Source organism: Homo sapiens, chromosome 11 (assembly GCF_000001405.40).
Source record: "Homo sapiens chromosome 11, GRCh38.p14 Primary Assembly".
Classification (NCBI taxonomy): domain Eukaryota; kingdom Metazoa; phylum Chordata; class Mammalia; order Primates; family Hominidae; genus Homo; species Homo sapiens.
In genome coordinates, this window is record NC_000011.10 from 44,650,261 (window position 1) to 44,662,246 (window position 11,986).

General features: G+C 50.3%; 2 annotated features.

The window, feature by feature from the left end:
- Positions 3,255–3,870: an enhancer, noted in NCBI's record as "H3K4me1 hESC enhancer chr11:44675065-44675680 (GRCh37/hg19 assembly coordinates)". NCBI's record gives its function as "activates a minimal SCP1, AML or CMV promoter by ChIP-STARR-seq in naive and primed H9 embryonic stem cells {active_cell/tissue: H9 hESC(naive and primed)}" and the evidence as "EXISTENCE:reporter gene assay evidence [ECO:0000049][PMID:30033119]".
- Positions 4,488–5,103: an enhancer, noted in NCBI's record as "H3K4me1 hESC enhancer chr11:44676298-44676913 (GRCh37/hg19 assembly coordinates)". NCBI's record gives its function as "activates a minimal SCP1, AML or CMV promoter by ChIP-STARR-seq in naive H9 embryonic stem cells {active_cell/tissue: H9 hESC(naive)}" and the evidence as "EXISTENCE:reporter gene assay evidence [ECO:0000049][PMID:30033119]".

Genomic DNA, 11,986 nt, shown 5'->3' on the forward strand with positions numbered 1-11,986 from the left:
CTCAAGAATTCAAAGTTGGTTTGACTTTGGGAAACAGATTAATGTAATTCACATCAGACAAGTCAAAGGACAGATGCTACATAGTCTCAACAGGTACAGAAAAAGAGGGCAACAAATTTCCACATTCATTCATGACAAAACTCTTAGAAAAATGGGAAGAGAAGAAAATTTTCTTTAACCTAATAAGTGGTACCAACAGAAAGCTTAGAGCAAGCAATTAGCATGAAGTAGAATTGAAAACATTCCCTTTAAAATCAAGCAGGGCCAGGCACAGTGGCTCACACCTCTTATCTCAGTGCTTTGGGAGGCTGAGGAGGGAGGATTGCTTGAGGCCAGAATTTTGAGACCAGCCTGGGCAGCATAGCGAGACCCCTGTCTCTACAAAAAACAATTTTAAAAAACTTAGCTGGGTGTGGTGGTGCACACCTGCAGTCCCAGTTACTCAGGAGACTAACGGGGGAGGATCGCTTGAGCCCAGGAATTCAAGATTACAGTGAGCCATGGTCACACCACTGCACTCCAGCCTGGGTAACAGAGTGAGACTCTATCTCTTAAAAATAAACATTAGAAATAATAAAAATAGAATCAGGCAGAAGACAAAGATGCCTGCTCATGCCACTTCTGGTTGTATTAGCGGTCCAGCACAGTAAAAGAAAAAACAAGATAAAGTAAATTTTTAAAAAATTAAATGATATAAAGATTGAAAAGAAAGGGAAAAAACCTACTTGCAAATGATGCAACTGTTTATATAGACAACGGGAAGGAATTAATGGATGTACTATTAGGATTAAGGAGAATTCAGCAAGGTTGCTAGATACAAAATCAACATGGAAAAATCCATGATATTTCTAGGTCTTAGTACAAACAATTAGAAAATGTAAATAATAGAAAATGATAGTGTTGACCATATTTGCCTCATCTGTGGCATGTGAGGAGCAGTGTCTACTTCAGCATATTTACATGAGGATTAAGTGAGACAAGTAAGTCGAGAACTAGCAAGTGCAAAGTTACTGTTACCAAATGTCAGTTTCTCTCTTTAGTCCCTGGGCACTGGGTTAGGCACCTTCTGGAGATCACTTGGCAGGACTCAGCTCACCTTGGCCTCTGGAGCTCCAGAAAGACAGGTATGATCCTCACCCAAATATCTCCCATGTAAGGCAGAAAATGGCCAGTGCCACAAGAGAAAAGACACGGGGGGTGGCAGAAGAAGCAGACAATGGTGGGAGATGCTTCCCATCTGGAAGCACTTTACTGGGGGCCTGAGAGTGGGCAGAATGTAGGCATTCAGAAAAAACATAAAGGCTACTCTATGGACAGTGTAGACAATGGCTAGAAGTGGAAGCATGGAGAGGGTTTAGGGCAGGAGAATTGGTGTTGGCTGCAGTCAAGCGTGTATGGAGCGGAACTGTGTGCGGTGAAAGGGGAAGTCACTAATGGCGGGACTTCAGGCATCACACAGATGCCACACTGGTGAAGGGGCCCAGGCAAGGAGACCTGGGTATGGCAACACCGTGGCCTCTGACCTCCTCCCACGCTCCTTACTGTGCCTGCCTCTGAGCTCGGCGGAGTCGTCCATTACACTCCCTGCTCTGCCCAGCCCTGGTGGCTCCCCTAGAGCTGGTGGCCTTCTGCCCTCTGAGGTTTAGAGAGAAGCCTCCTGTCTGCGGGAGGAAATCTCTGCAAGGTGTTTACTGCAGGGACCCAGGGAGCCAGGGTGGCCACGAGCCAAGTCTGAGTGCTGACCGGGGATTTTGCAAGGAAGAAGGAAGGGGGCCTGGATGTTTGAACAGCTGGGGTGGATCAGGGGCTGCCATCCCCCTTTCCCCTCTCCCGCTCCCCTGCTTCCGGGCTTTGACACCCCATTCTACCTGGGGTCCTGTCTGTTGAAGTGTCCGTTAATAGAGCCCTAGGACTGGAGGGCATTTTCTGTCCCCAAACAGGCAGACTGTGGAAGGAAAGTGTTTTGCGTTTTCTCCTGGGTGGGTTTGTGGGTAGGGGGCTCACATGCATACAAGCTGAACTGTGCTTTGGAGTTCCACAGAGGATGGGCTGAAGACCCAGCCAAACAAAACACGCCAAATAGTAAATCTGTCAGAAGCTGAAGTTAACTTGGGAGGTACCAAAGATACTTTCTCAGCACAGGATACAGGGGGTACCAGGCTGGAGGATGTTTGGGAAGCCGAGCCTCCCATCTCCCTGTCTCTGCTGGAGACAGGTTTGGAGGGTGGTGATGGAGCCTGGAGATTGTGGGGATCCCCAAGTGAAGGCTCCCCAGTCCCAAAGTCCAATCACCTCTCCAGGAAACAGCAGCATGAATTCTCTTGGACAGCTGCAGAAACCTCTTATGAGCCATGTCTGCTGACTCTAACACCAACCTTCTGGTGCATTTCTTCTCACAGTACCAGCATCTTCTTGCTCATCCTCCACAGGTGTTTAATGAGCACAGGGCATCCTGGGGATGGGGACCCAGCAGCCACCTGCCGGGGACCGTGGGCCCTGAGTTCACTCCCATATTACAAGGCCTGGGGGAGCTGAAGCTGTGAAGTTCTGTTGAGGCCACTTGCGTTGTCCACACAAAACCGTGCCCCTGGAGAATTGCGGGCAGTGGCCAAAGACACTGTCAGTGAGAACACTCTGATGGTGTGAAATGGACATTCTTGAAGATGGTCCGCAAATGTGCTCGGACTCTCTTGGGCAAAGAGCTCTCCTCTTAGACAACCAAGGACAAATAGCGGTGTCACTTGGAAAGTAAACGATAGAGAGCAACCTGCACCCCACCTCCCCAACGTGGTGGGCAGTCCCTGAAGAAATACACATCTAAGCTCAGGTCCCAACCGCGCCTCTCCCCAGCTGTGTAACTCATGGAGCCTCAGTCTTTTCATCTGTAAAAGGGGGGCAGTGACGCCTATCGCAGGTTATTGTGAAGACAGACGGAGACATAAAAGGCTTGCCACACAGTGGCTTTGCCCAGTGCTAGCTCCCTTCACCCCCTCACCCCACTGCAGAGCACAGTGGTGGGTGAGGAGCAACACCAGGAATCCCCATGAAGAGCTGGGCTTTCCTGTCACCCAGCGGGTGGCCTCCTTGCCACTGCTTTTCCAGCACTTTCCAGCTTATAACTGTGGGCAGCCCTGGGGCGCCAGGGGGTGGGAGGAGGCAGCTGCAGGGCTGGGGGCAGCAAATGGGGTGGATTTTGCTGACTTTGCCTTTTCTGCTCCTGCCTGGATCAAAGTGCGGGAGGCACGAAAGGAAAGAAACACGCCTCTTTGCAGCCTGCCTTGTTCTCCCCTCTGTCTTTTTTCACCTGCAAGCTCTAAGGGGCAGAATCAGCCTGGAGGCTATGGAATAGGAGAGGCCAGGAACACGGGGCTGAGCCTCCAGGGTCAGGTCAGGTTTCTGGGCCCCCAAGAAGAACCTGGAAAGTGGGGGGCTCTTCGCTCTTTTCCCTGTTGCTGCTCCCCTCCCCCTCTCACCCTAGCATTCTGGCTGGTTCTCTCCTCTCCGGCTTTTCCACTTATGAAAGCCGGAAGCCATGGGTTGCGCACACTGTCTGGGACCCATTTATGGCAGGCCTTGGGCAGGTGAAGGTAATCAAGCCAGAGGTTCCTGACTTGTTCCTGCTTTTCCAGGAAGGTAGCCATAGAAGGCTGTCACTGCCATCAAGGAACTTGGGACCCAAGGTCTGAGAGAGACAATGACTCCTGCTTAGGGCATTTGGTAAGGAGGTCTCAGGGCATGGGGCTCCTGATGGAGCCAGGGCCTCTCTTGGGGACCTTTAAGGCCTGGGAGCTGGTCATCCTCCTCTTGCCCCAGGAAGCCCTCCGCTTCTCCTTCCTTGCTGATGCAGGACTGCCCTCCTGGCCAGTGCCCTGGTGCCCAGACCTTGCCCTGTGACTACCTCCCTGTGCCTGGTGTGGCGCTGGGCATAATCGCTCACTCTCATCCTTATCAAAGAGACAGACTTGGTTGGGGGGACACACTCCTGGAGCCCCGCCCCAGCATGGCCACTCCCTAGGTGGGCCACTTGGGACAGTGGGCCTCTCTGAGCCTCAGTAGTCTCATCTGCCAAATGGCAATGAGAATGCCTCCCTAGTGAGCAAGCCCCTGGGCTGTCTGTGGCACGGTCCAGGAGAGGCGAGGCAGGACTGTTGCTTTCTCGGCCCGCTCTTCGGGCCAACAAGGAAGTTCACAATGTCAGTAGTCAAGACACCTGCCTTGTTGAATGAACTGGGCTGAAGAAGGGGCCTGGGCAGTGGCTGAAGCCCCATCCATCTTCCCCCTTCCTCCATTCCCCACCTGGTTGCCCAAGTATAGGGGCAGGGGAGCAGAAGGGAAGGGAACCAATGTTACTTTGAGCGTTCTATGACCCAGGCAAGAGCTTTATCACAAGCCATGCTCTTAACAAGCCTATAACATAAATACCATTGCATCCATTTTACAGAATAAAGCCAAGGCTCCGGGAGTTCAGCGATGCCTCCCCGGTCTTGCAGACAGCCTCGCCATGTGGCTGGCAAAGCTGGGCCCTCTGCAGAGCCAGCGCAGGGAGCCCCGCAGGCACCGACGGGGCCTCTTTTCCAAATGGCCCTTGCAGGCTCAGCTCCCACACATGACACAACCAGGAGTAACAAGCATAGGCCTGGCTCCACAATGCCAGCCTTTCCCCTATTCTAACAAGTCCCACCCACCACCTGCACCCAGGCTACGTCTTGACCTACTCCAAAGCCAAGCTAGGGGTGTGGGCTGTCCCACAGTGCGGGTCCTGAGAGTCCTACTACTTGAATTCCAGCCCTAGCCTTGTGCTTGCTAGCTAGAAAGTCCTGGCAAGGTTCACAGCCCAGGGCTACCCCCTGCTCCCGACCTCCCCCAGTGCTGAATGCCTCTCAACCTCTTGCTCATGCTCAGATGGAGGTCAGGTCAGGAGGGGCTAGCAAAGGCCGAAGCTCTTTGGAAATTACAGATAGCAGTCATGCTTTGTTGATTCTTCCCTTTCTGACTAGCTGCTGTCCATACTCTGCTGGCTAGTAAATATTTTTTTTTTTTTTTGAGATGGAGTCTCACTCTGTTGCCCAGGCTGGAGTGCAGTGGAGTGATCTCAGCTCGCTGCCACCTCCACCTCCCGGGTTCAAGTGATTCTCCTGCCTCAGCCTCCTGAGTAGCTGGAACTACAGGGGCGCACCACCACGCCTGGCTAATTTTTGTATATTTAGTAGCGATGGGGTTTCACCATGTTGACCAGGCTGGTCTCGAACTCCTGACCTCAGGTGATCCGCCCACCTCGGCCTCCTAGGCATGACGCAATGCACCCAGCCAGTAAATATTCTTTTTTTTTTTTTTTTTTTTTTCTAGATATGGAGTCTCGCTCTGTCGCCCAGGTTGGAGTGCAGCGGCACAAGCTCGGCTCACTGCAAGCTCCTCCTCCCAGGTTCACGCCATTCTCCTGCCTCAGCCTCCCGAGTAGCTGGGACTACAGGCGCCCGCCACCACACCTAGCTAATTTTTTGTATTTTTAGTAGAGACGGAGTTTCACCGTGTTAGCCAGGATGGTCTTGATCTCCTGACCTCGTGATCCACCCGCCTCGGCCTCCCAAAGTGCTGGGATTACAGGCATGAGCCACTGCGCCTGGCCCACCAGTAAATATCTAATGTCACCCCTGGTTATAAATCTGGTTCAACTGCATTTATCCCTTGCCTACTGCTTGTTCTGGTGTTAGGCTATGTGTGTGTGTTGGGGGCAGAGGGGGAACAATGTGATTTAGACAGCAGGCCCCAACCCGCTTAGGGAGCTCAAAGGGAGAAGACAGACACAACACCCCCTCACCCAACACTTCTGCAGATAAGGCAGAGAATGGTATGTGTGTACAGGGGGAGTAAATGAAGTTTTGTGGGAACAAAGGAAACCATCAACTCTTGCTAAAGTTGGGGGAGGTGGGGCAATCTGGGAAGGCCTCCTGAGGGAGGGGTCCTCGGGGATGAGTATGGAAAGTGGGCAGGATTTGTTCTGTTGGAAAAGCAGACTGGGGTATTCCAAGCTAGAGGAAACGGTAGAAGCAAACACAGGGAGACTTGGAGAGTGGGCTCTGCTTGGGGCAGAGAATTTGCCGAAGGGGAGATTTATGGTGAAACCAAAAAGGGGGCTGAGGGGAACGCTGTCTGGGGGACATAGCTGATTCCCGTTTCCCCACTGGTGACGCAAATGCTAAAGAAGTTCAGCTGGGCGAGGTGGCTCATGCCTGTAATCCCAGCACTTTGGGAGGCCGAGGCAGGTGGATCATCTAAGGTCAGGAGTTCAAGACCAGCCTGGACAACATGGTGAAACCCTGTCTCTACTAAAAATACAAGTATTAGCCGGGTGTGGTTGTGGGCACCTTTAATTCCAGCTACTCAGGAGGCTAAGGCAGGAGAATCGCTTGAACCAGGGAGGTGGAGGTAGCAGTGAGCTGAGATCGTGCCTCTGCACTCCAGCCTGGGCAACGAGGAAAACTCTATCTCAAAAAAAAAAAAAAAAAATTGCTAAAGCACTTCATGAGGTGGCAACAAGTTCTCCTCTGCTACAAAAAGATTTTGCAAGCAAGTCGGCCAGTTTCAAATGATTCTGATAACAAATACCTGAAGGACTGGGCAAGGGAAGAATTCCAAAGAAACAAAAGTGCCACTAAAGAGGTATGGAGCCACAGTCAATAAGATGTGGGCCGGAATAGAACTGCTGGTGATTTTATGAAGACATGAGAAAAAGGAAAAAAGAAAAAAAAAAGGTACTGGTAAAATGCATTTTATTGATCATGAAATGATCTTTGTCAATGTTTTGGACTAGACAACGAATTACTTTCTGGATGCTCCCTGAAAATTGTACTCCTGTTTGATGTTAAACTTTTGTTTCTGAAGTTTGATTTTAAGATGTTTGAATGCTAATTTTATATATTTGAACTATAATAAATCAATCCTTTTTTATTAAAAATAAATTTTAGGCCAGGTGTGGTGGCTCATGCTTGTAATCCCAGCACTTTGAGAGGACGAGGTGGGAGGATCGCTTGAGCCCAGGAGTCTGAGGCTGCAGTGAGCTGTGATTACACCACTGCACTCCAGCCTGGGCAACAAAGAGGCTCCATCTCAAAAAAAAAAATTAAGCACAAAAAGTTTGAAGCATAAGAGAAGTAGCTAAAGCTATTTGTTATATAACATGTTATTTGTCCTTATGTCATTCCTTCTCTTTAAAACATGCTATCAGGGCCAGGCATGGTGGCTCATGCCTGTAATCCCAGCACTTTGGGCAGCCGAGGCGGGCCGATCTCTTGAGGTCAGGAGTTCGAGACCAGCCTGGCCAACATGGCGAAAATTTGACTACTAAAAGTACAAAAATTAGCCTGGCATGGTGGCGGGCACCTGTAGTCCCAGCTACTCAAAAGGCTGAGGCAGGAGAATTGCTTGAACCCGGGAGGCAGAGGTTGCAGTGAGCCGAGATTGTGCCACTGCACTCCAGCCTGGGTGACAGAGTGAGACTGCATCTCAAAAAAAAGAAATAAGAAATAAAATAAAATATGTATCGGGTTGGGAGTTTTAAATTCACAGTACAAGCATTGCTATGGATGTGCCTGAAGGAACAGAAAAATGACTTCCTTTTTAAAAAATTTTTTAAGAGACAGAGTCTCCCTCTGTCACCCAGGTGGGAGTGACTTTCTGATAATTGAGGAAAGCAGAACATATTCCCTGCCATTTGCATATTGTCACAGCGATGCCAGCAGATGCTTTTAGGAGAGGAAGAGACCCATATCTCAACTCCCTCTATCTTTGATAGCGTAAGTAAGGAACATGCTTATAAAAACAATGGAAAGTGGCACATATCTACTTTGAAAAAAGTGGGGGTTATGTAGAATAAGGCCCAAAGAGGATCAAAAACAAATTGTCACTCTGCCAAACTAGAAATTTCCACAGGCTTTCTCCTTGCTTGAGTCGAGCATTTGAGAAATTGTATTGGGATTACATTAAATTTACTATTTTTGTTTGCTAAAATGAATAAATCAACCCACTCTTATTTGTATTTAAAAAAAACAACAGGCACCACACATATGATCCCCAAAAGGGAGCAGATGGTAGAGCAGAGGCACTCTCAGATTCCCTTCCTGGGCCGGGGCTGCTGGTCAGCTCCTCAGTTATAAAATGGGAACAAATCACATCTTTCTCGTAGGACTACTGGGAGGAAAAGAGAGTGTGTGAGAGGACTCTGCTCATTGTAAGCACTCTTGAAAGCTGGGTCTTTCCAATGTTTCTCTTCTGCCCACCTGCTTCCCAAGCACAGACCCAGTTCCACCTGCAGACCCAGCAGAATTGGTGTCAGCTGTGGATTTAACGCACTGTCATGCAAGCTCCTGACGGCTGGGGGCACCATTAGGTCCAGGCAATAAACATTTATTAACATGTCACAAGGCGAAGCATGCTGATCCCCTGAGGAGATACTGTGGCACTTCCTAGTTCATGGAGAACTCAATAAATGGTAGAGGGATGGAAGGGAGGGTGGAGAGAAGACTGATTAGCCAGATGAAAGACAGAGGGCTGAGCAGAGGGAGGGAGGAGGGCAGAATAGAGGGGATGGGTGCAGGAATGGAGACATGGATGGATGAAGGATGGGAGGGTGGAAAGTGAATAGAATAATGAAGGGATGGAGAAATTCAGGAAAGGATAGAGAGGTGGAGAGGAGATGAGATGGAAGGAGGGAGGGAATGATGGCTGGACAAAAGGATAAATAGGTTAAAGGAATTGGTGAAGCCATGGAGAAATGGTAGGAAGCATGGAGGGGTGGGTGGAGAAATGGAGAGATGGAAGGATGAAGGGATGGAAGGGTAGAAGGTGAATGGAATAATGGAGCGACTGAGAGATCCAGGGAGGGATGGAGAGGTGAACGGATGGATAATGGGATGGAGAGAGGTAGGAAAAGATGGATGGTGGCTGGATGAAGGGATAATGGGGTGTAGGGATAGGTGGAGGCATAAGGGAAAGATCAGAGGAAGGATAGAGAAGTGGCTGGAGGAATAGAGAGAGAGATGGATGAAGAGATTGAAAGGTAGAGAGGGAATGAAGAATAAAGGGATGGAGAGACTGAAGAAGGAACGGAGAGGAACAGGAAACAGAGGGAAGGATGGATGGAGAAATGGAGAGATCAACGGATGGATAATGGGATGGAGAGTTGGAGGACTCATTGTTCTCTGATGAGCTTACCTTTACCTCTCCCTGCACTTCCTGGAACAGGGCACGTGCCTTGTTTGATTTCTGTTTGATTTCAGGGCATGCGTATTTGTTGAATTAAAACCCATGCATGTGGACATGCTTTGGACAGCATGGGGCCCTGCTAATGCTGAAACATTCTGTTCTGTCTCCTCCTTGGGTGGGAGTGGGAGGTCCTCTGAGGAGGACAAAGAGAAGAGAGGCAGGAAAGTCTCTGCTGCGGGGAGGAGGAGGAGAGGCCGACTCAGCTGTTCAGTATAAACTTCCCACCCTGTTGGCATATGGGGAACATGTGGCCCCCTCCCTCCTGGCACTGGAGCAACGTCATGCCAGGGATGCTGGCAGCCAAGGGCACAGAGTGTTCCCAGAGGGAACTGGCAGTCACGCAGGAGGCAAGCATTTGAAGCTGTAGTCTGAGCCTGGTTCTGGGGTGGGCCCTGAGGACCTGAGGGCAGCTGATAGGCTCAGTTCCCCTGTGGATATGGCAGGAAGCCTGCAGCCACAGCCACCCCTCCCAGCCTCTTCTGAGAAGCAGAAAGGGGCCACCCACAGGTACCAGGCCCCCATCCCTCACAGGGCCTCTGCTGCCCCTTCTAGCTCTGGGGAATCAGCTACAGGGACAGGGCCCTGGACTTGAAGTCCAAAGATGTGACCTCTGATCCCCTCAGCCCCTCACTGTGCAGATTCCATGCCTCCCTTCTTTCTGGGCCTTCCTCAGTTTCCCCGTTGTTCCAAATGCCATCCTGCCCATTGGGATGGTGAGGGTGAGATTTTATCTCCAAGTGAGAAAACCAAATATTGGGCTTTCTGAAAAGAGAAGTGTTTCCATGTGAAGAACTGTACATTATCGTGAAACCACGCCCACCTTCCTCCAACAGTTTTGACGTTAAAGAGTGTCACTTTGTTTATGAAATAAGGGCTAGTAGATGGTAATCTTGTCAGACAGCACCCCTGTTTATTTTTTGTAATTTTCAACTGGTGCATAAAACCCCAAATTGTGAACCACTAGACAAGACAATTCCTGAAGGGCCTTCCAGAGCCAGGTAGATTCTCTGTCTTAGATGCTGATATTGTTTGGCTGTGTCCCCACCCAAATCTCATCTTGAATTGTAGCTCCCATAATTCCCACTTGTCAAGGGAGGGACCCAGTGGGTGGTAACTGAAGCATGTGGGTAGGTTTTTCCCATGCTGTTTTCGTGATAGTGAATACGTCTCCTGAGACCTGATGGTTTTATAAAGTGGAGTTCCTCTGCACACACTCTTTCTTGCCTGCTGCCATGTAAGATGTGACTTTGCTCCTCCTTGCCTTCTGCCATGATTGTGAGGCCTCCCCAGCCATGTGGAACTGTGAGTCCATTAAACCTCTTTTTCTTTATAAATTACCCAGTCTTGGATATGTCTTTATTAGCAGCGTGAGAATGAACTAATACAGATGTACCCCTGGAATAGGTCTGCCTCTAACCAGGGCTCTAATTTGGAACCTTGATGTGTACAACTTCCCTCTTGAGCTCACATCTGTGCCCTGGAGGAAGCAGTGTCTGCAGAGGTTCAGGTGCAGGCAGACTTCTCTGAGGGGCAGAACAGTGCCTTGCCCTCAACAAGCCATCTCAGCCCCGCAGTTTGAGCTCAATCCTATTCCCCCACCACAACCACCCGCAGCTCAACAGGAGCTGTCCACTCCCCTAGTGATCCTGTGACCAGATCCCTGAGAGGCCCCCCAGAAAAACTCCACACAGGACAAGTGTGGGCTGATAACTTCTCCCTATGAACTGTGTTGCAGCTGGAGAGAGTCAAATTCAAGTTTAGCAGAGAAGCAATCCAGTTGGGCTGGGTGGGTCAGGCCACAGAAGACGTGACTCAAGGCGTGGGAGCCCCAGCACATGTGGCCTAGCTGGTCTGGCCCCCAAGTACTTGCAGGGTGTGGAGAGTCCATTAGAGACCATGGGAGCGTGGGGCGGGAGACATTCCCAGGCCAGGCCAGAGCAATGCTCCCAGAGTTCCCTCTTATCCTTCCCTTCTCCTTAGATACCCCCTCACCCAATGCCAGCTCTCCCAGTTGCAGCAACTTGGAAGAGAAATGTCACGGCCAACCCCAGCCAGCCCCGCCAGCTCAGCAGTTTCTCCCTGCCCTGCTCCCCAGCTCTGCACTGTCTTCCCACTCAAACAGGCTGCAGGGAGCTGGGGAGGCAGGGAGGCTGCAGACAGGCAGGGCCCAGCCGGGCTGTCTGGCTTCCTGGATCTCAGAATCAGCATTCATTTATTATTTAGCAAATATGCCTCAATCCCTGACTAAGGGGTGTGCAAAGCAACCCAGTGGGCAGGGTGGGAGTGTGTGTGCGCATGTGTATCTGTGTGTGTCTCGGTGTAGGTTTATGTTTGTGTGAGAGTGTGTCTGTGCATTTCTGTGTATGTCTCTGTGTCTGTGCATTTCTGTGTGTGTGTCTGTGCATTTCTGTGTGTTTGAGTATGTGTTATCTGCACATCTGTGGGTGGGAAAGGGGTTTCTGGGGTGAACAAAGGAGAGCCTGTGTGTTCCAAGGGGCCTGACTTCAGCAGGCGTGTACATGGGGAAGGCAGATGCACCCGCCGTTCACAGGAGCGAATATAAAGGGTGTTGGGGGAGGCTCCTGCTATCTGCCAGTCCCTGAGATATCATTATTGGCAAGACAGGCCCAGGGATAAAGTCAGGAACTTTCCTAAGCAGGTTCTTGCAGTTTCAGGAAGGCAAGGCAATGCGGAAGGGCTTAAGTTTAAACTTTTTTAAATATTT